Source organism: Homo sapiens, chromosome 4, assembly GCF_000001405.40.
Source record: "Homo sapiens chromosome 4, GRCh38.p14 Primary Assembly".
In the NCBI taxonomy this organism is placed as follows: domain Eukaryota; kingdom Metazoa; phylum Chordata; class Mammalia; order Primates; family Hominidae; genus Homo; species Homo sapiens.
Window position 1 is genome coordinate 169,214,620 of NC_000004.12, and position 27,177 is coordinate 169,241,796.

Here is a 27,177-nt window from a genome sequence, read left to right on the forward strand (position 1 = left end):
TTGCACAGATATTGCATGTTTTGTTAGCTTTATAGCTATAAGTATATAGGTCCATATATATGTGTATATATATATAAGTATTCATTCTTTTAGGTGCTAATGTAAATGGCAATGTGTTTTTAACTTCTAGTTTCATTTGTTGATGCCATATAGAAAAGTGATTGGCTTTTGTGTATTAACCTTGTATCCTTCAACCTTGCTAATTGACTAATAAGGACTAAAAAAACTTTCAGGAGTTTTGTTGTCAATTCTTTTGGATTTTCTACGTATATTATCATGTCCTCTGTAAACAGACATTTTTATTTCTTCCTTCCCAATCTTTATACCTTTTCTTTTCTTTGTCTTATAACATTAGCTAGGACTTCCTGTATAATGTTGAAAAAAAGTGGTGAGAGGGGACATCCTTGTCTTGTTCCTTACCTTAATGAGAAAGCTTCTCTTTTCTCCATTAAGTATGTTGTTATCTGTAGGATTTGGGGTAAATTTTTTTTCTTATCAAGTTGAGGTAGTCCCCTCTATTGCTAGTTTACTGCCAGTTTTTATCAAGAATGGGTGTTGAATTTGGTCAAATTCTGCATCTACTGGTATGACCATATAGTTTTTCTTCTTTAGTTTGTTGCTGTGATGGATTACATTAATTGATTTTTCAATACTGAACCAGCCTTGCATACTTAGGATAAATTCCATTTGGTCATTGTGTATAATTCTTTTATACATTGTTGCATTTGATTTGACAATATTTTGGTAAGACTTATACACCTATGTTCATGACAGATATTGCAGTTCCTTTTCTTGTAATGTCTTTATCTGGTTTTGGTATTAGGTTAATGCTGGCCTCATACAGTAAGTTACAAAGTATTCCCTCTGCATCTATCTTCTGAAAGAGACTGTAGAGAGTTGGTATAATTTCTTCCTTCAGTGTTTGGTAGAATTCATCACATCTGGGCCTGGGGATTTGTTTTGGAAGGCTATTAATTACTGATTAAATCTCTTTAATAAATATAGACCTATACAGATTGTCTCTTCACTTCCCTTAGTTTTGTTTATTATTGAAGTTTCATTATATTTCTCTCAGAAACATCAAATTCACAGATTTATTATCTATAAATATGTGGGATACTAATTTGTTTTCTAATAGTCAAGTAATGTATTTTTTGTTTTTTTTTTCGTTTGCTTGTTTGTAACTTCCTGTGTGTGTGAAGCGTGAAGGGTCTCACTTCATCGCACAGGCTGGGGTGCAGTGGTGCAATCATGGCTCACTGCAGCCTCAACCTCCTGAGCTCAAACAATCCTGCTGCCTCAACCCCCCAAGCGGCTGGGACCACTGGCACACACCACCATGCCTGGTTAATTTTTGTATTTTTTGTAGAGACAAGGTTTTGTCCTGTTGCCCAGGCTGGTCTTGAACTCCTGAGCTCAAGAGATCTGCCCACCTTGGCCTCCCAAAGTGGTGGGATTATAGGCATGAGCCACCATGCCCAGCCTAATAGTCAGGTAATGTAGTATCTGTGATATATGTTAGCTATATTTGTATCAGTAGTTTAAGGCAGGCAAAATATTACTATTGAATCTTTAGAAGTCCATATTCTTAGTTTGTTATAACACATTTGGAAAAAAAGAAATAAAGAAATAAAAATAAAAGTCTATATTCTGAAAAAGCTTCGAAAAAATTGGAAATTATAATGTTTTAGAAATTATAATTGTAAATTATGAAGTTTAAGCATTTAAAAATTTTCATTATTTGTCTTCATGAGACCTAAATTAAAGATATTCAGCTATTTTTAATTTTTTTCTAGAAGATTTTGAGATATATTTTCTGGCTAAAATTTTCCATAACTGTTCTTGCTCCTTTTATTGTTGTTGTGAGGATAAATAAAATCTATGCATTTACTACCATGGAGCACATAAATGTCTGTTCAGAAATAAGAAATGCTTTCTCCGCCAGGAATGGTTGCTCACCTCTATAGTCCGAGAACTATGGGAAGCTGAGGTGGAAAAATCAGTTGAGCCCAGTGGTTTGAGACCAGCCTAGGTGATGAAGTGAGACCCCCATCTCACTCAAAAATCACTAATTCAAAAATAATTTTTAGAAAGCTAGTTAATTGTCTTCAGTATTTTTCCTTCTATTTATATTTTTGACAATTTGATATTTCATTTTTCAACATTATAACTTATAATAAAGCAAAATACTATCTAGTACCTCATGCAGTACACTTCCCATGGTCTTCCATTTTTAAAAAGTGAGTTTGGGCTAGGCGCAGTGGCTCATGCCTTTAATCCTAGCACTTTGGGAGGCCGAGGCAGGCGGATCACTTGAGCTCAGGAGTTTGAGACCAGCCTGAGCAACATGGCGAAACCCCATCTCTACAAAAATTACAAAAAAAAAAAAAAAAACCAGCCAGGTGTGGTGGTACATGTCTGTAGTCCCAGCTACTTGGGGAGCTGAGGTGAGAAGATCGCTTGAGCCCAGGAGGTTGAGGCTTCAGTGAGCCAAGACCATGCTATTGCACTCCAGCTGGGTGACAAAGTGAGACCCTGTCTCAAAAAAAAAAAAAAAAAAGTGAGTTTGAAATTTAAAATTTTCTTGCTATTTCTTATATAGTCAGACAAGGCTTGGTTCAACACCCTGAGCTGGGTTGGCTTGACAGGACTAGCACTAGACCTGACCCAGAGGTAAAGGCAATTGTGGGAAGAGCGGACGGACCTGGGAAGAAATCTAGAAGCCAACGAGCAGAACACCAAAGCTTGTCACTGGGCAACAGAGAACTGGTCCAACAAAGCTGTCACCATCAGAAATGTGTGTCACCAGGTCAGAGAAACAGGAAATCAAGGCAGGTAACGGGAGACAAAATCAAGGAAAGTCAGTTGGCAAAAGGGCCCAGGACACGAGTCTGGAACTCGGGTAACTGAAAGAATAGGAAGTACTAGAGACAGAAAGAAAAGCCTAAACCTGAAAGGTGTACAAGACAAGTTACTAAACCAGGGGTTCTGGACAAAGGAATAAGGCAAAGGACTACAAGGTCCTGGCTAGCTGAGCATCAGATATGAGGAATAAAACATTGGCCTGGGAGAAGGGAATAGGGAGTTACTGTTTAATGGATACAGAGTTTTAGCTGGGGAAGCTAAAAAAACTCTATAGATGGATTCTGGCTAGTGATGGTCGCTCAACAATGTGAATGTACTTAATGCCACAGAACCGTATACTTTAAAATGTTAAGTCTTATGCACATTTTACCAAAAAACAAAAAAAAGTTTAATGAGGGAAAAAATGTTTTCCAGCTTCATTGATCTAAGCCACTGGGTCTCTTCAATTTCCCTGAGAACATTCCTATGGTTTTCCAAATCATCACAACACAAATAATATTCTTTTAGATTGAACTTCCAGCAAGAAATTAATTTAAATGTGAATGCTATTATCCCTATGGGGAATAAGCAGTAGCCAGGGTTTGCATCAGAACTGAGTTTGATATAGTCATTTTTATCTTAAATGTATATGTATGCAAGTGTGTAATATATATTATTATATATTGATTATACATATATCAATATATGTTAATGATATGTGTAATATATGTAAATATAATATAATATATAATATAATATAAACATATTCTGTCTATAATATAGAATATGTTTATATATAATATAGAATATAAATATATAATATATAATATATAATATAAATATAGAATATAGAATATAGAATACAGATTATAGAATATAGAATATAAATATATATTATATAATATATAGAATATAGAATATATATATTATAGAATATAGAATATAGAATATAAATATATATTATAGAATATAGAATATAATACATGTTATATAATATATATAATATAAATATATTATATATTTTATATATAGTATATATATATTTGCCCCCAAAACAAAAGCAAAACACTGGCCTGGTGCAAAAACTCCTTTTACCCTTTCCCTGGAGCCAGGAGAGCCTGGGGATAAGATTCAGTCACTCACAGGGAAGGGCAGCTGCAGACCAGGGACCAAAAGTGAACACCACCATCTCAATCTAAAATGCAGATACAGCCAAAGACTAATTTAAGAATTAGAGCAGCATTACTGCCTTTTTATAGCTGGTGAAAGCTAGTGCTGAAATACATATACAGGTATGCAAACTAGGTAGCATCATACTCAATAAATACATGAATTAACTGATTCATTAATGGAAAGAAGCATTTAAGAATAAAAAATGTTAAGTAAAAGTAATCCAGGAGTAAAATTTTGCTTTAAGTAATTAGGAGTCAATGATTCATTCAAGGTACCTTCAATATATTCAATAAATAATTTACAGTATTTAGCAGTCAGACTTCTTAACAGACTTTGCTCTCTAAAATATGCAAAGAATCATGATTCCTCCCTCCAAATACAACTTCCCAAAAAGTTACCAGACTCAAACTCCTTAATAACCCTTTCTTACATAACAGAGAATTCACAGTAAGCTTAACTATCTGATTTCCCAACTCACAAAAAAATTACAATGAGGAGCTGATAGACGCAAGCATAAGAACAGTGGAAGAAGGAACAACTGACCTTTACAGAAGACAGAGAAAACCCCAGAGTCTGTATTAAGACAAGGTGCAATAATGAGTATACATACTGGCAACCCTAAATCATCAGGAGAGGGTTAATTTATGCCAAATCGTTTCTGTTCAATCAATATAAGGAATACTTGATGTATTCAAGAAAGTATTTAATAAAAATTACAGAAATTTAAAAAGGGCTCTGGTATTTGGCGTAACAAACTCCAGTTAGGTATATATTCACCCATGACAACACCTTACTTCCAATAAAGGAGTCATTACTTTATTTTCAGGTTTTTCCTCCTAAAAGAAACTATTTCAAAGCTATCAGAGATTATTCGCTTACAAAAAAAACCAAAAACCCCCAAAACTAATGTACTCTCCTCTGAGATCTCTAACCAAATATTTGAGGGATGGTGTATAAGGAGCAGCTTGTGTTTGTTCTTCCTTGTCTACTGTTTTGTATTTCCTTCAGGCCTATTTGCAGGCAGAGGGCCAGTAGACAGCTGCTCTAATTACTCAAAGAACTCAAACTCAAGAACTGTATTCATGCATTCTTGCTGTTCAAACCAGGGGTTTATAAATTTTGTAGGTGAGAATACTTCTTCATTTTTATCCCTCTACTACTTTCTCTCATTAATTATTAGAAAATCAATTATTTACATGTCGCCCTGTATGCAATCGTTATTCACTTAAATGTCATGCTTTTTATTCCTAGATTTTTATTTTGTCTCAAATGACTAAAATGATACTTGGATAGACAGTTTGTTATTAGCAATCAACTTCCAGGCGATCAGTACAAACTAGCGTGTGGTACTCTAAATTACAGGAAAGACAGAAGAGAGAAAAAAAGAAAAGAGAAAGCAGAAATGTGGGTTTTGCTGCAAAGAAATACCAAAATTGTTTCCAATCAGTCAAAGTGAATCATCTGTCTACCAACATGCCTCATTTTTCATTGTCTATAGGTAACTTAGAAAAGAGTAACTAATGCAAGGAATAGTTTTGTTATAAAATGTGCATAATTTTGACTGCTTTAATAATGAAATTTAAATTCACATGTATTTCCTTCTTTTCTATGAACTTCTTTTAATCATAACTGGAAAAAAAATGTCAAGTGGTGTCCACAGCTAGCTGACACTTCACATGAAGATTGAAGAAGAATAAATTTCATTTTAAATACATGTTCCTTCGCAAGTTCTGTGATTAAACATTCACGCTAGCTTTCCTCGGTCAAAAATGAAAGAACCGAATGAACTTCTGTTTGATCCTCTCCTCCACAGGATAAATTTTCCTTTTTCTAGTACATTTAGAGTGCATATTTTGGCAAGTGTGGACTAGGGAGTGGGGAAGGTGTTGTGGGTGGGGAACACTTGCTTTCTTCCATGAGAGCAACCCCTGCCTGGCCTTCGGAGAGATTTTAGCAATTCCCAATCCTGCCCCACTTCCAGCAGTCTGGGCACCTGGGCACCCAGCTCCAATGGGATTAGCTTTCACTGTACTGGATTCCTCTGTCAAACAACTGACCCGCAAACTCTATAGTTACCACCATGCAACACAAAGCTTGAACATACTAACAATCTGTTACTATTCACTGGTGTGTAATGTACACAGGAATGTGAAATTACATGGAAATGCAATCCGGAGTAAAAATCTAAAAATTCATACATTGTATTAGGTTAGTATTTATAATTTCCAAAAACAAAGTCATTGAAGAGGTCATGATTTTTGTTAAAATTAATGAGATTAAAGATCAGGCACAGGTTAAATTTGCCTTCAAGGCAGAAGTTTAGCAGACAAACAATTCTGGTTTAGTTAAAAGTACATGGTCTTTGAACTCTCGTGTCGAAAGAGTTGAACACAACTAAACTTTAATGTGAAAAGGTCTCAAGTAGTTAATCAGAAATGAGAGGCGCACATAGCATTTTATACTGTTTTCGATTTGCTGACACAACATCATTCTGTGCTCTCTAGTGAGCAAGAGTAATCCTCAATAGCATTAAGACGAAAGGCTGAACACAAAACCGCAGGCAAGTCAAGTAGTGATTTTATTCTTTTTGTCATTTTTCTTTCAAGTGGAAGATCCCTAACACTCTCTGCTCCTGACAATGTTTATAAACAGAACTCTGAGAAGCATCTGAATGTAAAAAAAAAATAGGTCTCTCCAACAAACTGTGATAGACGATCAACCAGCTGAGTCCTCTTCCAGATGACATGGGGTTGGAAGTACTTTTAAGACCTAGTTTCCACAAAAATAAAACTCTTAAAATTACTCAACTTGCTGGGTCTGATCCCTATGAAAGAAAAATAGTGTATAACATAAGATATACCATAATCAGTTACACCAACAACTCAGTTCCGAGAAAAGTTTGAAAACATTAACATTGGAAAAGAAAGTTCAATCAAAGACATGCATTAGGCTAAAACGTTCTTTATGATAGCACTTCATTTTAACATATAAACACTATGCTCCTTATAACATACCTTGTAATCTATAAAATAAAGGCAACATATTTTATGTCTGATAATAAAAAAAAGTTAACTGCTAAATCCTAGATGACAAAACACTTCATCTTTTACCCCATAAAATTTGCCCTGAATTTTAAAATTCATCACTTACGTAATATCTGAATTCTACAACTCTGATAGCCTTTTATTAGCAGGCTATGTAAAGATCCAAAATCGTTACACAGTACAAACAGTGAACTGCTAAGCTAAAGTATAACCTTTTTGCTTAACTGGATAGACTAAAGTAATAATAGACTATGTAATACAAACTTCTCAAAGTAAGTCTTCGTTCCCCTCATCCATCCCAAAAAAACACTACTAATAGTTTTTCCTTGAACATCTATACATTATCAAGTGTAGGTGTCTACTATGTAATAATAATATACATTCAAACCACCTTTTTGGGTTTTCTTAAATGTAGGCTTATCTTCTGCTCAAAGCAAAGATACTGCAATAGAAAATCAGCAATGTGACAATTATAATATGCTCTTAAATTATAAATCAATAGGCTGGTCATGGTGGCTTACGCCTGTAATCCTAGCACTTTGGGAGGCCGAGGCAGGTAGATCACTTGAGATCGGGAGTTGGAGATCAGCCTGGCCAACATGGTGAAACCCCGTCTCTACTAAAAATACAAAAAATTAGCCAGGCATGGTAGCAGACACCTGTAGTCACAGCTACTTGGGAGGCTGACGCAGGAGAACTGCTTGAACCTGGGAGGTGGAGGTTGCAGTGAACTGAGATTGCACCACTACACTCCAGCCTGGGTGACAGAGCTGAGACTCGGTCTAAAAAATACATATATATGTATTTTATATATATATTTTTATACATATTTATATATATATATAAATCATTAACTGTTCTGTATATTTTGACAACTTCCTAAGAGGAATTTAAGATAATAGAATTTCATTCCAAATTAATAACATTGTTAAGATAAATACTGTAACAAAATAATAACAAAGTCTCCTTCAATAAAAGTGGAATAGTAATCTGAGGACAAATTTCAGTCAGTTTATTGCTTCCCTTGTTAATCTTTCACCTTCTAAAATGCATTTTACAACTAAAACTGAGAAAGAACTTATGTTAACAACTCTCTATTTTGTGACACTTTAACTTTAATGGAACATGTTTATTCCTTCCTGCTCCCAACGACACTTCCAATACATGAGTTCAGCTAAGAAAACTCAGTTCTAAAATGGCAAGTTCTCAGCTGTCTATGAAGCCAAATGGGCGGCTATAAATGCCTGTGTGGACAGCACCCCTGTCCTCGCATGGATTTTTATGAGGCACCATGTGGCACCCCTCGTGGTTTGCCCAGCTGCAGCTCTTCACAAGGCGGGAAACACATGTGACATTGCCTCCAACTTCCTCTGCCTTCCCAAGTGGCATCAGTCCTCCAACACGCAGACTCACTTTAAGGCACTGACCCTGGACCTTCCTGGGGCCTTTCTGCCAGGAAGATATAAAAGAACATCTATTCATTCCATTGACAGGTAACAGACCCTCATCAAGTGCAAGGTGCTGCACTCAACATGTAGGGATAGTAACATGCAATGGCCACTAAGCATGGATCAGAAGGGAAGATAGAAATATAAGCCACCACACCTCTCCACAAAATGCAGCACATATAATAAGAAATACACATCACATTCTATGAGAGTTCTGAGGCACTGGCAAGATCAGAGAAGGCAATGTGAAAGGGGTGGTGGCTAAAATGGCCCTAAAAGGATGGGTAGGAATTAGAGATGCAAATAAAGTACACTATGGATAGTTAAGAAAAGAGAGGGAAACCAGAGCATGAGGCAGGCAGGGAAGAGACATCCGCTCACTCATTCAGACAACGAATGTTTACTGAACATATGGTCCCAGATGTGGGGGATACACCACGACACACCATGAATAAGACAGACAGTCACTGATTGCTTGGAGCTTACTTTCTTTTTTAAAAATTATGTCCTTCTTTCCATGTTCAAATATCTAAAGGAGCTTACTTTCTAATGGGGTGATGGGCAAGCATATCAACAAATAATTATAGAAGTTAATTTCAGGTTGTGATAAGCGCAAATAAAAATAAACCAGGGTAAGAGCACAGTGGGTGGAGATAGGTAATCAATAAGAATGTGATATGTGAGCAGAGACTGGATTCAAGTGTGGAAGAGGTGATCCTAAGGAAGGGAGCCAAAAAAGCACAGGCAAAAACCCTGGGGCAGAACAGTTGGGCATATTTAAGAACAGCTAGAAGGCCAGTGTAGCTGGAAGAAAATACGTGAATCAAAGAGGTAAGAGATGTTGCTGGAAAGATAAGTACAGGTAAGAATGAATGTTTCTCCTTAAAGGCACCATTGACATTTGGGGCAGAATACTGTGGTCTTGTTGTATTTAGCATCATGGCCCTTGTGGCACTAAATGCCAACAGTACTGTCCTTGTAACAATTTAGAAGCTCCACTAATTTCTAAACACTCCTATGAGGGACAGGAAGCAGGCAGTACATCCCACTGAGAACCACTGAGACAGATCCTGTATGGCCTTGTGGTCATAAATATGATTTTGTTCTAAGTGTAAGGAAGAAGCCAGTAGAGAGCTATAAACAGAGGAAATGGCATATTGCCTATTTCTAGAAGGCCATGATCTAATTTCCTATTTTTTTTTTTTTTGAAATGGAGTCTTGCTCTGTGGTCCAGGCTGGAGTGCAATGGTGCGATCTTGGCTCACTGCAACCTCCACCTCCTGGGTTCAAGTGATTCTCCTGCCTTAGCCTCCCAAGTAGCTGGGATTACAGGCTCGCGCCACCATGCCTGGCTAATTTTTGTATTTTTAGTAGAGACGGGGTTTTGCCATGTTGGCCAGGCTGGTCTCGAACTCCTGACCTCAGGTGATCTGCCTGCCTCGGCCTCCCAAAGTGCTGGGATTACAGGCGTGAACCACCACCACCGACCTCTAATTTCTATCTTTAAAAAATGTCTCTGTCTACTATATGGAAAACTGGCTCCAGGGGATAACAGTAGCTGCAGGGGTAACCAGGAACAAGACTACTGCAGTAATGCAGGAGATTATGACAGCTTGGCTTGGGTAGGTGCTCAGATGTAATAAGATGAGGGAGATCTTGAAGACTGAGCCATCAGGATTTGCCTAATGTGGCTTCACCTAGCTAGAGCAGAGTATTGAAGAGGGGAAGTCAAACATGAGGCTGGAATGGAAAATTGGGGCCAGATTCCCTGGGGGCCTAGAAAGCCAGCCTAAGGGACATCGAGTCTCATTCTGTAACAGGGTGCCCAAGGGTTTTATACTTTAAGCAGAGTAATCCAACAGCAGTTGGGAAAGAAGAGAGACTAAAAAGAGGGAGACCAGCTCAGACAGAGAGAGACCAATTACCACATGCCTGGGAGTAAAGAGAGCAAAGCTCTGCATTGATGAATTCAAAAGGTATTACCAAGACAAGGTTAGTGCCAGTTAATGACCAGCTGACCCTGAGATTTAACCCTGGGCAACAGAGGGATGACAGGGACATGACCAAAGCAAAGCATCATGAAAGGAGAAGAGGATTTGAAAAGGAAGGTAGTATGACCTGCTTCGGCTTCAGACATATTAGGTTTGAATGCTGGCCAACTTCACAGGTAGGAAAAGTCAGCTGGATTTGTGGAACCAGAGCTCCAGCACAAGTGAGGGCTGGAGGCAATTGTTTGGGAGTTATCAGCAAGATGGTGACCCCTAAAGTCACGAGACGGAAAGAGGATCACCACCAGAGAAAAGGCAGACCTCACAAAACACCTTAGATAGAACGCTAGGGACATGAGGAAGGGAAGTCATTTCAAGAATCATGCTGTGTGCAAGAGGGTTAAAAGCACAGATGTAAAGGAGGGTAAACTGGGTAAAAGGCCAATGGATTTAGTGACTAAGAGAGTCTGGAGACTGTCAAGACTGCAGTTTCATCAAGACAGAAAGGTGACTGCAATGTTAAAGGAAGTGAGTCAGTCTGAGGAAATGTGGATGAGCCTACACTATTTTTCAAGGATTGGTTATAAAAGGAAAGTGATAAAAGTGATGGTAGCTTGAAGGAGTAGCAGAGTTGAGGGTAGGTTGGGTGAGTGTGTGTGTCTTAAAAGTAAAAATAGTTAACTTGCAGAGCTTAAAGAGCAGAATCCAGTGGAGAGATTGAAGTTGCAGGATGATATGACCCACCAACGACAAGAAAACAGAAGAGATGAGCAGAGACATGTTACCCTTAGAAAGAGGAAGAGACACCTGTTCCTCTGGCAGATAAGGGAAGATGATCAAGCAGTGGCTGCCATGTTGCTGACAGCCCCCTTAAACACAACAGAAGAGACAATGAATAAAGCTATTATATATATAGCAACACACTTCTGATAACCACTTCTAGGAGAAACAATATTCTGACTAATGCCATTATTCTACTTAATGTCGTGACATCAGAACAACCAAATGTTGTGACTCATAGTTTGTCTCTTTTGTTTAGTGCACTTAATATGAATGAAAGAGGTAGGTGGATAAGTACCTTTGGTAAGTGAATGAAGAACCCCCCAGACAATGCAAATCACGCTATAGATAAAAGAGTATATTTTGTTTCTGAAATTAATTTAAACTCCCACTTGGTTTGTCTTTCACAGTCACTTGACATTTATAATTCAGTTGCAAATTCATAAATCAAAAGCATTCTGCTTTTCATCACAGTTGTCGTGTCTACATATCAAGGTTTTCCTGGTCACCATAACACTACCATTCCACAGCAGTGAAAAGCAAAATACATGGAATGTTATAATGAAGAAAAATTTGAGGGAGCCTGATTTAAAGAAAAAAAAAAAAGAGCAAGAAAGATCAGAATACATAAACTAAGTAATTAATGAGATCATCAAAGCCCATGCTAATCTCATTTAACCATTCCTTACCCCCCTAGAAAGGGAGATACAGAAAGGCACACAACAGCAGCAAATGACTTTAGGTCAGTAGCTTTTTTAAAAATTGGCCACAGTGCACCATCAATTTTATAGGAAACTATTGTAGATAATAAAACCTATCTTTGTAAATCTATTTTACACAGTATGCCAAAACTGTCAGTGAAGCTAAAGTCTTATAATAACTGTGATTGGGATGATGAATTGAATGTGTTAGCCTAGCATTAGTCACCTAATTCTAAATCTAAATTGTACTACCTCAGTCACCTAACTGCTTTTAAAAATACATAAGAGGCCAGGCATAGTGGCTTATGCCTGTAATCCCAGCACTTTGGTAGGCTGAGGTGGGAGGATCACTTGGGGCCAAGAGTTTGAGACCACCCTGGTCAACATAACAAGACCCCATCTCTATAAAAAGTGAAAAACTAGCCAGGCGTCGGGGCACAAATCTCTAGTCCTAAATACTCGGGAGGCTGAGGCAGGAGGATTGCTTGAGCCCAGGAGGTTGAGGCTTCAGTAAGCTGTGATCATGCCACTGTACTCCAGCCCGGGTGACAGAGCAACACCCTGCCTTGAAAAAAAAACACATAAGAAAGAACCAAGAGTTTAATTAATTCCAATTAGAAAATGATAAGAATGGGAAATAACAAAAATCATTAGACTATAACATCAATCAATAACCTATTTCCAAAAAACTCTGAATTAAACACTAAAAATTTTGAAATGGCAAATGAAAAACAACTATTCTCTCTTATGTGCATTTGAAAAATGTTCCTCTTGAATAAGCTGTATTTATCACCAAATATTTCATCTTTCACTGATAGGTACATGACAAAGTGATTCATGTACTATCCATGGACTACAAAAATATGTAGTTGTCTTAACAGGTATCAGGCATAGAGTTGGAATTTATGCTTTAGAACTTGTAATGGAGCCCACAGCAATAGAATGTTTAAAATCTGAATTAGCATTTGATATTCTGAAACAACATTTGGCAGGGGTAGCTGGGATCCCTGGGGTGTTCCATAACATCTATGCATTATTTATTTTACTATACTACCATACTGATCTACAATTACTCTCTCTGTGTGCCTTTCTCTACCAGTGGCCTGGAAACAACTTACAGGTAGAAAGACCACATTATCTACAACCATAGAACAGTGCCCATCGAAGCCAGACCCAGTTACTTTTAAGAGGAATGTCAAAGGGCTACGGGATAGACAGTGGAATTTCCCACAGGAAGATGTACCATCCCTGGACACGAGAACAGAGTTTATTGCATTTTTCAATTCAGGAAGAGAAATTTTTCAAAATAATGTCACAAGAGCGAATGAAGGGAACTCTACAAATCACAGTCATGAAGTGATTCAGAATCCCAAATGCCTGAACTGAATTTTATTAAGGATTTCATTTCCTATAAAAGCAACATAACGCATTTTTAACTACTATTTTTGTTCACGTAGTTACCTCCCTATTCTACTTTTTCAGCTGTTTCCAGGAACAGTGAGCAGACCATCATTGAATAGAATATATATTAAGTACATATTCTAAATGTATACCTTCTGCAAGAATTAAAAATCTGCACTAGAAAATATTGCCTACACAGGCAGATAGTCTTCAAACACAAGTAGACCATCTAAACACATTTCAGTAGACATGTGTTTCCCACAGCTGCTGTAACAAATTAGCACAAACTTCATGGCTTAAGATAACACAAATTTGTTATCTTGCAGTTCTGGAGGTCAGAGTACAAAATGGGTCTCTCTGAGCTAAAATCAAGGTGTTGGCAGCGCTGTGTTTTTTTTCTGGAGGTTCTAGGGGAAAAATCTGTTTTCTTGCCTTTTCCAGCTTCCAGAGGCTGCCTGCATCACTTGCCTTGGGGCCCCTTCCTCCATCTTCAACAGGAGGTTGAGTTCCTCATCACATAACATCACTCGGACCTTGTCTTCTGCCTCGCTATTCCACTTCTAAAAGCCCCAGTGATTACACTGGACTCATCCAAATAACCCAGGATCATCATCTCCTCTCCAGGTCAGCTGATTAGCAACCTTAACTCTTTGCCATGTAATAACACACGGCTCTGGGGATTAGGATGTAAACATCTTGAGGGGAGGGAAAGGGAATGACACATTAGTCTGCCTACTGCAGCATGGAATCATCCATCAGTACACTTTCTATTTTATTTTTCATACAGACTCACAGACATATACCACACCCATACCCAAAAGTTTTTTAGATTTCCCTGCCCTAATTTGATAATTCTAGACTAATTCTAATGAATACTTCCACAAGTGTCTCCTATAATTTTGTAATGTTAGAATTTTACTTTAAAAAAACAAAAAAAATTCTGTTCTTCGAAAAACAAACAAACAAACAAACAAATTCCAGATGGTTCCAAGAGTGCAAACCTGAAAACAGCTTAACCTGATTTATTTTTTTAAAAAAAGGCATGACAGTCTCACCAGGAAAGAGCTCTTTTAGTTTACAGGGTTTGATACGTAATATAATCATACTTAAGAGTTTTGTTTTGCTTTTTGTTTTCTGTTTTGAGACAGGATCTTGTTCTGCGGCCCAGGCTGGAGTGCAGTGGCTTGTGGAAAACTGAACTCATCTTTATAATTCCTTTTTTATTGAGACTTACCTAGAATAATTAACATTTGAATTTAATTAAAAACAGTTCTTTTGTCAAACTTAACCCAATTCTCCAATACTTTTGTAGGTCACCTTCTTTAATAACAATCAGAGGAAGAATTTTCTGACTCTTCAAAACAGCAATCTAAATATAATACTTTATTGTACAACACATGATGTCTTTTTTTTTGTGTCCCAAATTGTGTTCCTTAGAACACCTGGAAACATAAATTGGTATACCACCCCCCCACCCAAAAAAAAAACCTATTCGGTGGCCACATACATTTGGAAAAGGACGTATACCATGCCTCTCTTTTAGAGGGTCACAATGCATACTAAGTGTTAAAAGTCCTCTAACTTTGTTTAACATCACTGTTTTCAGAACGTTTTCCTAACATCCCTATAAATAACCTGGGCTGAGGCAAGAAAGTGAGAAGTGAATACTAATGTAGAGCATATCTCCACAGAGTATTACTCATGAGTAAGCCCCACAGCTTACTCATCACAACTGGGAACAAAACCAGCCCCACTTTATGCTCCTGAGAGTATACGACGGATGAAAGGCATTTCAAATATCAAATGTCAAATCAATGCCAAATTGCAACTACAATTAAAATCTACTTGAAACAACACAAATATGAAAAGGCTCCTGCTGTCTCTAATTGTATTTACATGAGTGGGTCCTTTAAAAAACAATGCTTGGCCAGGCGAGGTGGCTCATGCCTGTAATCCCAACACTTTAGGAGGTGGAGACGGGTGGATCACTTGAGGTCAGGAGTTCGAGACTAGCCTGGTCAACATGGTGAAACCCAGTCTCTACTATAAATACAAAAATTAGCCAGGCGTGGTGGTGCATGCCTGTAATCCCAGCTACTCGGGAGGCCGAGGCAGGAGACTGCTTGAACCCAGGGGCGGAGGCTGCAGTGAGCCAAGATCACGCTGCTCCAGCCTGGGCCACTAAATGAGACTCTGTCTCAAAAATAAAAATAAAATAAAAAACAATGTTTAATTCAATATGACTTTAAATGGTGCACAGCTAAATGAACCTACCCATGTTTATAAAGAATCCAAATGTATCTGATTCAAAATACTGACCCTCAAATAGAGCCGTGGATGCCCCATCCACTACACATAAGCAAGAGACAGATTTATGAAAAGCATTTCAAAATGTTTTTTCCTTCATACAGAGTAATAAATACTCAATTAAAAGGAATTAAGGTTAATTCTAAAGAGATGGGAAATTTCCTTTAGTTTTCATTTGTTTTTCTATAAAAAATAGAAATATTTCAATCTAAAATAAAAAATCTCAAAGCTAAAAATATTAAGTATCAATTATTCAAATATCACTGATTCCACGTGGGCGCAGTGACTCACACCTGTATTCCCATCACTTTGGGAGGCCAAGATGGGCAGATCACCTGAGGTCAGGAGTTCAAGACCAGCCTGGCCAACATGGTGAAACTCCATCTCTACTAAAAATACACAAATTAGCTGGGCGTGGTGGCACACACCTGTAGTCCCAGCTACTCAGGAAGCTGAAGGAGAATCATTTGAACCCAGGAGGCAGAGGTTGCAGTGAGCTGAGATCGTGCCATTGCACTCCAGCGTAGATGACAGAGTGAGAAACCACCTCAAAAAAAAAAAAAAAAAAAAATTACTGAGTCCCCCTCTAAAAAATTCTATTAAAATGACAATTATTTTTTAAGTTTATAGCCCTCAAGTATAAACAATAGGCTCAAAAGGTTGAAAAACAGTGTCTTGGTCCACTCCTGTGAGGTGCTAAAATGTAACGAAAAGGCCACCGGTGCTAGGGCATAGGAAGGCTACTTACCTTCCCAGAGCCCAAGTTTCTTCATCTGTAAATAGAAGGTGGTCGTAATACTTACCTCATGGGGTTGTTGTGAGAATTAACTGGGTTAAAGTATACAAGGCACTTAGAATAGTACTGGTACATAAGCATTCCACAAATGTGGCCCATTATTACATTATTGTTGTTCTTACTATACTTTTTCTGGTCATGTTTGTTATCCCAAATTTGTTACTCATAAATAAAAAGGAAAATAAGTTGGGTGTGGTGGCTCATGCCTGTAATCCCAGCACTTTGGGGGGCCAAGGCAGGCAGATCACGAGGTCAGGAGTTCGAGACCAGCCTGACCAATATGGTGAAACCCAGTCTCTACTAAAAATACAAAAATTAGCCAGACGTCATGGCGCATGGCTGTAATCCCAGCTACTCAGGAGGCTGAGGCTGGAGAATCGCTTGAATCCAGGAGGCAGAGGTTGCAGTGAGCCGAGATTGCACCACTGCTCTCCTGTCTGGGTGACACAGCGAGACTCCGTCTCAAAAAAAAAATTTTTTTTTTTAATAAATAAATAAAAAGGAAAATAAATTTCTCCTACACTCAAGATTCTAAATAACTAAGATTAGTTTTTGCTCAAAGCTGCTATAGAATACTCACTCCTCCATCCAACATAACCACCCACTATGCATTACTGCTCCCTTCCAAATCACCTGGACAACTAACGCCTCTTTCTACTTCTGTGTGAACCATCTGTTTTCAATTACTGACTCATTCACTTAATAGTCATCAAATACCTACTACATGTCAGGTACTGTTTGACATTAGACATTCAAGGATATATAAGTATCAGGTCCTGTCTTTAAAAACCTGTTATTCTAGAAGGAGAAGAAGGGGAAAAGTATTTCAACAGTTTAAAATTTTTTCCTCTAATGGAGACATATTCCAGACATAGTATTAGCAAAAAGGAAGACCTTACGGCCTCCACTGAAGGGAGAGAGCACCAGGCCAGGTTTCTGGTTAGGTAGACAGGTACTGCAGGACAGGAGAGTTTGCAAAGCCAGGCATACAGGAACTGGCTTAGAGCATTTTAAACACTGGATGGCCAGTGTGGCCAGTACGAGCGCTAGTAAGCACCTGTGAGGCAAGAAAGGATATCAGACCCAACAGGCTCTTGGAGACAGTGCCAAAATTTTTGGACTATTGTTAAGGAATTTTAAAAGGGAATGATGTTCAAATCCACATTTGGGAAAGACCGCCATAGCAATGTGAAGAATGAAATGGAGGAAGCAGAAACTAGAAACAGGTAGACCAAGTCAGTGAGCTTTGTGTTTTTCACAGTGTCTTCGAAATTAGTTCACTGTTACCATAACTCTGTGTGGCGTGACAACTGTTATTCATTTGTAATGGATATGAAACGGAACTTCAAAAAGATCACAAGACTTGCCCAAAGTCACATAATAATGAATAAATGGCTAAAATGGCCTCCAGAATCCAAGACTTCTCATCATCCCACTGGTCCTTTCTCTCCAATCCCTAGAGGTTAAAATAAAGTACAAACTTTGGTCACATCCTATCCCAGAGCAGCAGTTTGGCTGCAGCAAATGAATTCAAGTTTACTTGAGTTAATAATCAGATACTTTCTGGCTGTAAGAGCATGGAACATTTATCATAGCTAAATAAAATGGGAGTTGATTGGGTAAATTTTGATAAACTGTACTTTAATCCTGAAAAATGGCTGCTACTAGATATGTTTTTACCCCTCTTCAGTGATACACTTCAAAGCCAGAAATAAGGTTCATGCCCATCAAATAAATAAGCAAGACTTCAGTTTAAACCCTAAACTCTGAACATATAATCTACTAGTCTACTGATCGGTAGTGTGAACTGCCTGGTTGTAAATATCAAGCCTTCGTATGCAGCAGATTATATTAATGGTAAACTGGGCCAAGCGCAGTGGCTCACACCTGTAATCCCAGAACTTTGGGAGGCCGAGGCAGGCAGATCACCTAAGGTTAGGAGTTCAAGACCAGCCTGGCCAACGTGGCAAAACCCCATCTCTACTAAAAATACAAAAATCAGCCAGGCGTGGTGGCAGGCACCTCTAATTCCAGCTACTCAGGGGGCTGAGGGAGGGGAATCACTTGAACCCAGGAGGCAGAGGTTGCAGTGAGCCAAGGTCATGCCACTGCACTCCAGCCTGGGCAACAGAGCAAGACTCCATCTCAAAAAAAAAAAAAAAAAAAAAAAAACCGTGGTTTACTCAGAACAGTTGGTAAATGGGATATTCTGCTTAATTTAACATTCCGGTTATCTGGAAGTCAACATGTACAGTAGCATATATATCATAAAATAATTACCAAATTTCAAAGAATTAGAATAAAATAATTTAAAACTAAAACTATATTGAGTATGATTATTCATAGTCATCATTTCAACAGCTATTGATAACTAATGTTTATTGAAGGCTTATCACAGGACAGGTACTTTTCAAAGTGTTTTATATCTATTAACTCATTGCATTACACTTTACTTCATTTAACTCATTGATAAACACGAATTGTCATTGTAAGTCATAAAAAACAAATGTGGTTGTCTTAGATGGCTTTGGTTGTTTGGCTTCTGAAAAAATGGAAGTTATATTTGACTGCAATAATTCATTGACTGATTTTCTTCATTGCCTCCAGGTAATGAGCAACTTAATCAGCAAACCACCTCCCTCTACCCTATTATTTCACAGAACCATTACTCTTTCATACTTGTCAGCTCTGCCCTTACAAGCTGACATTTCATTAAGAGACGTAATTGAAAATCTAGCTTTCAGGTAAGTCTGAGGGTCTTCCTTCCCCCACGATTTCTCTATTTCCGCCCCTGCCTCAGAGCAGCTATAAACCATTTTCTGTCCCTGTTAGTTACCATCTGCTTCCCCATCCTGTATTCTGAGATACCCTCCAACTGCCATTCTGATTCACAGCTGAAAAGCACTCCTGATTTTTTGTTGTTGTTTTTCCTTTCTGATGTCACTCTGTTAACTCTCAGTCTCTGTTTAGACCACCGGAACACCCCTGAGAAAGCAGTGTCCTCATACAAATTATTCTAGAACAGTGGATCTCCACTGGGGGCAATTTTGCTCATCCCCACCTGCCAGGAACGTGTGACAATGTCAATTTTTTTTTAAATTGTCCCACTTGGGATAATTAATCGGGAGTCCAGAAGGAATGTACCACTGGCATCTAGTGGGTAGATACCAGGTATGCTGTTAAGTATCCTAGAATGCACAAAAGAAACACCCTCCCCACCCCCCAAAAAGAATTATTCAGTCTAAAATGTCAAGAGTGTGAGGTTGGGAAACCCTGATTTAGAATATGATCTCAGACGAAATACCATGGTCTTCCAGTTCTCCCCTGAAGCAAATTAAAACATAACTCCTCAAATATACTGCCATAGCAACTTAAGAACATTTTGGTGAAGTTCGTTTGGGTGAAGAACATTTACATCTAAACAATGATATCCTAATAGCTGCTTTCATGGGTGAGAATTAATTAACAAACTTCTAACACTGGACTTGCCATTTAATAGACTTTGCTATACCTCACAGCACAGCTTTGGTAGAAAGTACTGCCTGGCATTGTTTGGAAACACCCTCATACCATTTCCAATAGATCACTACAATGATATTTACTGCAAGCATCAACCTGTATTTTTTTGTACTCTAAGGGATCTTTTCTACTAAAAACAATTCACGGTAAATTGATTTCTATTTCTAAGTCGGGGTTTCTCAGTCTTGGCACTACTGACATTTGGGCCTGATAGTTGTTTGTTGGGGAGCGTGGCTGTCCTGTGCATGGTAGGACGCACAGCATTTCTGGCTTCTACCCACGAGATGCCAGTAGCAACCCCCTCCCCTGCACCCCATGACAAAATGTCACCAGACATTACCAAATGTCCCTTAAGAGGCAAGATCACTCTCATACCCCCATTGAGAATCACTGTTTTAGAGGGTTTTTTTAAAATCAACTTCTAATTTAAGTTTCCCACATCTAGATTTTGATATATTGGGTTTGCTAGGTACAAATATATTGAATAACTAAACCAACAAATTCCTGTATGTTGATATTCTTAAAATAGAATTCCTATAATCCTACTGTGCAAAACAAGAATGAATACAAATGGAAATTTTAAACACTAAACAGTACCCAAGTATCATCTAGCTTACATAACAACACAGTGATATCCTTACAGACTAAACTCGTCATCAAAGTATTTTGTTTATGGTTAAGTTTTTAGCAATGTCATTTACTCTCTGGCATGACAAAATTCATAATAAAAAATAGCTAATACTCATTCAACATTTACTATATTAGTGTTTTATAGTGACATGCACACAATTTTTAAGTCCCTTCCATGATATGATAACTCTGTAAGATAGGTACTATTATTATTTCCATTTAAATATGAGCCAACTGAAGCACAGAACGGTTAAGTAACTTGCCCAGGGTCACACAGGCAATCTGTGACAGAGCTGGCATTTCAGCCCAAGCAGCCTAACTCAATAACTCAATCCACATTCTTCCGTGTTATGCTACATTGCTTCTCATATAATAATATGCCATATTAATCATTACATCAGCAATGAGCATATATTATAAAGGGATTTTACTTAATTTCCTTCTTTTCTTTTTTTTTTGAGACATAGTTTTGCTCTTGTTGCCCAAGCTGGAGTGCAACGGTGCAATCTTGGCTCACTGCAACCTCCGCCTCCCCAGTTCAAGCCTCAGCCTCCTGAGTAGCTGGGATTACAGGTGTGCACCACCAGGACTGGCTACTTTTTGTGTTTTTAGAAGAGACAGGGTTTCACCATGTTGGCCAGGCTGCTGTCAAACTCCTGACCTCAGGTGATCCACCCACCTCAGCCTCCCAAAGTGCTGGGATTATAGGCGTGAGCCACCGTGCCTGGCCTACTTAATTTCTTTCAGTGACATTTCCTCTGCAACCTAAGTGACAAAACTGTTCTGGACAACATTTGCCTCAGGATCCTTGCCATGTGTTTTCTGACAGTTCTAGCCACTGGCACAGCATCTGTAGCCCAACTGCCCAGATCCCAGTCCTGGCTCTACCATAAACATTACGATTCTTCTCTCCCTCTAGACACATGGCAGGACTGCCCTTTCCGACCTCCTTGAAATGGAATCATGGCCTAGTAACTCACTTTGGACAATGAAATGTGGGAAGTAAAACATGTCACTTCCAGATGGAAGCTTTAAGCCAGAACTCGACTTGCCAATTCCCTTCCTGGAAGCATGTGCTGAGATGGAGCCTTTGTCGGCTGGGTCTCTGAGTGACTCTAATGACTATAATGAGCGGTGTCCCTCTGCCAATCCACACAACGTATACCTTGAGTGAGAAATAAGCCTTTGCTGTATTAAGCATCTCAAATTTCAGGGTTGTTTCTTACTATTCCATAATTTAGACTAAGTAATATCGTTACTTATTAGTTGGTGTGACCTTAAACAAGTTATGTAACCTCTCTATGTCTGCTTCCTCACCTGGAAAATGGAGATAATAGTAGCAACTACTTCGTAGTGTTGCTATGAGAATTAAATAAGTTAATATACATAAAGTACCTAAAACATTGCCTGGCACACAGTAAGAACCCACTACTGTCCCCAGAAATTCTCATGTAAGCTAACTCATGGATATCATTACTCTGGTCACCAGTCTCTAACAATCTGAGACATGGATATGTAAATACATACATTGCTTCTATATTATTATTCCCATAATAAAATGCTACATATGTAGGCTCAAAGGCTAACAAATAATTCACTGACAGACACAAAAGACTGAATAATAAAACCCAGGATATCATCTGTTACAAAATGGCATGGAAAAATATCTCCAAAAACTACAAAGTAGAAGAGAGACGATTGTATTTAACTGACCCAACTTTTGCTTCTGTCTCATCCCCTGCCAGTAATACATACATAAACAAGCACAAATATGCACACGCTCCCTTCTCAATGAACAGATTTAACTTGCCAGCCAACTAGAAAGAGATTCAACAGAAGGAGCCAAAAATGTGGTGCCAACTGGCTGTGTGACATGCACAGCAATGTCTCCTAATAAACCAACACCTGACGTCTAGTAAGTGGGAATACAATAAGCAGAAGAGGAGTGATGTGATGTAGGAAATCAACCTGAAATGTTCCCAGACACACGGTGAAGGTGATTTGAAAGTCATACTTAGACTCATGGATTATTTTCAAAAGCATTAATTTTCCAAAGGTGACTTTCACCAGGTGTTTATTTACCTGGGGGACAATTAAAGCTGATTTCAGGCTGGACACGATGGCTCATGCCTGTAATCACAACACTTCGGGAGGTGGAAGTGGGAGGATGGCTTGAGGCCAGGAGTTCAAGACCAGCTTGGGCAATACAGCCCAACCCCATCTCTATTTTTAATTTTTTAAAAAAGAGAGGCTGATTTCAAGAGGGGAAATGGTTATACATACCCATAAGGTAGCTGCCTACATTGACCACCAGCATGCTAAAAATATGAATTTGGGAATTATATCTCCAGCTGAATCACAGGTACAGTAAACAAATCCAGGAAATTTGGCTGCAGTGAGTTCTGGACAGATTTCAAAACTTATTAAGGAGAGTGCCTTAAGACCAGAAGAATCAGCAAAAAGACACAAGACAGTAAAGATGAATACATATTACTGATAAAGAATTAGTAATAAGACTGAAAAGAGTATACCCTACAGTCTTATAAGAAATAAGAAATAAGCTTATTCAAGACCTGTAGGACCAATTTTAGCAAGAATCCTGCTAAATCAATTTATGATTTCCCCCCCGCTCCACACCCTTGAAATCTGATCACCCTTGATATATAGCTCCTCATCTCCCACCTTTGATCTGTAAGTCCTTGGCCTGCCTTTAGCAAGAGTCCTATTAGGTCGGGTTAGCAAGAATCCCCCTACACTTGATGTCTCCTCTTAATAATTTTCCCCTCTTAGTGAATTTTCCTCTCCCCTCACACTCTGCCCATTGGCTATAAATTTCCAGCTGTCTTTGCTGTATTCAGAATAGAGCCCTATCTCTGCCTCCTACTGTAATACTCTAATGCAATATAGTCTTCAATAAAGCTTTACTTACCATCTCAACCAGCATCAGAATAATTTTTCCTTTAACATATCCAAGCTTGGTCAGAATTAGGGTGTACCTACACCTACCTGCACTATTAATACTCCGCACAGCAGGGAGAAAGGAACTACCTACCAGGTGTCATGGGCATGGAAGGATGTGAGGAACGCTAGCACTGGCCAAATACAGTGGCCTCACAAGCCATCTTCACCTTCAGGAAAATGAATATTGAGCTGCCACAGACACTCTGCTGCCCTCTTAATTTACCATTACCATGAATCTACAGGATGCTCTGTTCCAAACACCCAGTACATTCTTATACATCTTGTCCTGATAGATGCCTGTGAGGTAGGCAGGGCTGAGAATTATGAATTGTTGTCTATCAGGCTGAAGTGACTTTCCAAAAATTGAAGTTGACAGCAATAAGGTCAAGAATCAGCTCTGTGCTGTTTTGACGGAGTGAGTCATTGCCTCCTTGAATCTGGCACATACCAGCCAACTGTCAAGGTTTGTTCTTCCACATGGTCTAACTGCTAAATACAAAGTATACTAGGTTTGTCAGCTTAGGGCATGTTTGCTTCCACTCTGAAAACATTTCAGCTGCCCTAATATATTGCTATAAAGAATTCTCTTATTATTACTGTCTTCCTCCTCATATTTAGCTCTGTCTTCCATCACTTCAAAAGAAGCATTTGTAGCTTCCCCATCCTCTTTCTTTCTAGTTGACTTTGAAGACTATCTATATAAGTATTTCTGGCATAAAACTGACAGGTAAATGACTTCAAAGCTAATTTCCGCCCCCCCCCACCCCTTGCCCTTTTTCAGTCTCAAGATACCATGTCAGTCCTCTATTCACTCTCAAAAATGATGGCTTAACTGCACAGTGCCGTTCTGGGTCAATTCTTAAATATACTAGAATATACTAGACATATCTGGCTCATTTAAGTCATTCTTCACCAATCTTTCTTCTTATTTACCTCCTTCCTCAACTTGGAAATTTTGCCTTTTCACAATATGTGGATAGCCATTTCTGCCAAGATTGTGCCGACAAGACTGGTTATAAATCTACCTACTTTGTAAAAGGGGAATATTTTTGTAACCATTGCATATCTCTATTAAAACATGAAAGAAACACTGAAGGCCAAGTGTTCAAGTGACACGCAGGAAAAAAAAAAGCTGATATTCAGAAAGCCAAGCATACAGAGAAATAATGAGAGGTTAATGAAGTGAGTTCTGAATCACAAGTGCTGTTCAGAAAACAAAAAAAGACATCTGTGAAGGCTGACCTTGGAACTAGTCACTGTTATTCAGTCCATATGTATGTATGTTTTTATTAAAATAACTGTTCAAAGTTAACTTTCATCCAAGTTAACTTCTGAAGAAATAAAAAGGCATCACGTTAAGGTTTCAAAAATTTAACCATTCTACCTTTAGCAATGGTTAGTCCACCTTATTTTCACACATTTCCATCTTAATGAAAGCAAGTACATTAAAGGATACTCAGAATAGCTGCAAGGCATACCACAAGATGTACCACAAGATTAGAAATTTCTTTAAAAGTAATTAAGATCGGCCGAGTGCAGTGGCTGACTCCAGCAATCCCAGCATTTTGGGAGGCTGAGGCTGGTGGATCACCTGAGGTCAGGAGTTCAAGACCAGCTTGGACAACATGGTGAAACCCCGTCTCTAATGAAAAAAATACAAAAATAAGCCGGGCGTGGTGGTGTGCACTTATACTCCCAGCTACTTGGGAGGCTGAGGCAGGAGAATCTCTTGAACTCAGAAGTCAGAGGCTGCAGTGAGCCAAGATCACGCCACTTTACTCCAGCCTGGGCAACAGAGTGAGACTGCCTCAAAAAAAACAAAAGTAATTCACATCTACAGTGAGAATTACAAAGCACAAACACTCCAACTGCACACTGGAACATCTAAGAGTAAAGTCACCAAGGTATTTCTTAAAATAATCAACTTTTCAAAAGTCAATTAAAACTTCTCAAGGGGTATTATAATAAATTCAGTTTTACTTAATTTTTTTTTCTTTTTTTTTGAGACAGGGTCTCACTCTGGCACGCAGGCTGGAGTGCAGTGGTGCAATCTCAGCTCACTGAGCCTCAACCTCCTGGGCTCAAACAGTTCTCCCACCTCAGCCTCCTGAGGTAGCTGGGACCACAGGCACAAACCACCATGCCCGCCTGATTTTTTTAATTTTTTGCAGAGATGGGATTTCACCACATTGCCCAGGCTGGTCTCAAACTCCTGGGCTCAAGCAATCGACCTACCTCAGCCTCCCAAAGCTCTGGGATTACAGAGCGTGAGCCCTTGCATCTGGCCCCCTTCACTTAATTATTTAAGAAAGCAGTTTGAGAAACTGTTCAATTTAAAGATACCAACGTGTATTAAGGAGTTTTTGAGTTTTCTTCTTTAACAAATAAATAAATTGTATCTATTTGCAGTGTACAGCATTTTTAATATGTATACATTGTGAAATTATATCAAGTTCATTAACATATTCATCACCTCACACACCTGTCATTTCTTGTGAGAATATTTGAAATCTACTGGCCTAGCAGTTTTCAAGTCCATAACACATTATTACTAACCACAGTCACCATGCTGCACTTGCCTGTTTTATTCATTACCATACTTATACCGCTTGTACATAAGCCCCTCAGTAAGATGATCCATGTATTCACCAGACCAAACTAATTATCACCCAAGCATCCCCCTCATTGCAAGGAAGCCTTTTAAGTGAAGTGAAGCTTTCCTTTTTAAAACTGCCCAGGCCGGGCGTGGTGGCTCACGTCTGTAATCCCAGCACTTTGGGAGGCTGAGGTGGGCGGATCACGAGGTCAGGAGATCAAGACCATCGTGGCTAACACAGTGAAACCCCTTCTCTACTAAAAATACAAAAAATTAGCCAAGCGTGGTGGCGGGCGCCTGTAGTCCCAGCTACTCAGGAGGCTGAGACAGGAGAATGGCGTGAACCCAGGAGGCGGAGATTGCAGTGAGCCGAGATCGCGCCACTGCACTCCAGCCTGGGCGACAGAGCGAGACTCCGTCTCAAAATAAATAAATAAATAAACAAACAAATAAAATAAAACTGCCCAAGTCCATGTGAAAAGTATCCAAGTTTACACATTGAAATCAATACTGGAAATACATGCTAAATACTATTCAGAAGCGACTTGAATAGATTTTCTTCAGCAAACTCACCCTTCAGCCGAAAGGCAGTGAACTTCACCCCCAATTCTGCATAGGATTACCTGGTCTAATTTTGTAGGAGCTCTGTTTGCATTTTAATCCATCATCCATGGAAGTAAAGGCCTTAGGAAGTAAAGGCCTTAGGGGTTGAGAGCATCTGGATGTGCTTTGGCGCAGTCCATAGCTAACATCAGCACTCCTGAACTCCACCAGAGGAGACAGTGAGAAAGCCAGTGTGCCCTGGAGTAGGGCCCAAGTTCAGCTGCTCCAGAAATGCCTCTACACCAAAAGGACAATGTAGCTATCTTTCTAAAATGAAAAATAAAAAACACAGGCTGAAACAAAATCCTGCTGAAACACTGTGTGGGCAGAACTTGACCTTGCAGCATGGTTACTGAGATACTGCACTTCTTGGGAAATGGGGACTG

General features: G+C 38.8%; 1 protein-coding gene across 1 annotated transcript in view, besides 4 other annotated features; it reads right to left on the reverse strand.

The window, feature by feature from the left end:
- Positions 1-27,177, reverse strand: part of SH3RF1 (SH3 domain containing ring finger 1) — a 176,698-nt gene that overhangs the window by 120,361 nt on the left and 29,160 nt on the right. The gene's annotated exons all lie outside the window — the stretch shown is intronic.
- Positions 10,478-11,677: an enhancer, noted in NCBI's record as "P300/CBP strongly-dependent group 1 enhancer chr4:170146248-170147447 (GRCh37/hg19 assembly coordinates)". NCBI's record gives its function as "activates an origin of replication core promoter dependent on BRD2, BRD4, P300/CBP, MED14 and CDK7 cofactors, with strong dependence on P300/CBP, by STARR-seq in HCT116 cells {active_cell/tissue: HCT116}" and the evidence as "EXISTENCE:reporter gene assay evidence [ECO:0000049][PMID:35650434]".
- Positions 14,864-15,543: an enhancer, noted in NCBI's record as "OCT4-NANOG hESC enhancer chr4:170150634-170151313 (GRCh37/hg19 assembly coordinates)". NCBI's record gives its function as "activates a minimal SCP1, AML or CMV promoter by ChIP-STARR-seq in naive H9 embryonic stem cells {active_cell/tissue: H9 hESC(naive)}" and the evidence as "EXISTENCE:reporter gene assay evidence [ECO:0000049][PMID:30033119]".
- Positions 25,994-26,494: an enhancer, noted in NCBI's record as "H3K4me1 hESC enhancer chr4:170161764-170162264 (GRCh37/hg19 assembly coordinates)". NCBI's record gives its function as "activates a minimal SCP1, AML or CMV promoter by ChIP-STARR-seq in primed H9 embryonic stem cells {active_cell/tissue: H9 hESC(primed)}" and the evidence as "EXISTENCE:reporter gene assay evidence [ECO:0000049][PMID:30033119]".
- Positions 26,495-26,995: an enhancer, noted in NCBI's record as "H3K4me1 hESC enhancer chr4:170162265-170162765 (GRCh37/hg19 assembly coordinates)". NCBI's record gives its function as "activates a minimal SCP1, AML or CMV promoter by ChIP-STARR-seq in primed H9 embryonic stem cells {active_cell/tissue: H9 hESC(primed)}" and the evidence as "EXISTENCE:reporter gene assay evidence [ECO:0000049][PMID:30033119]".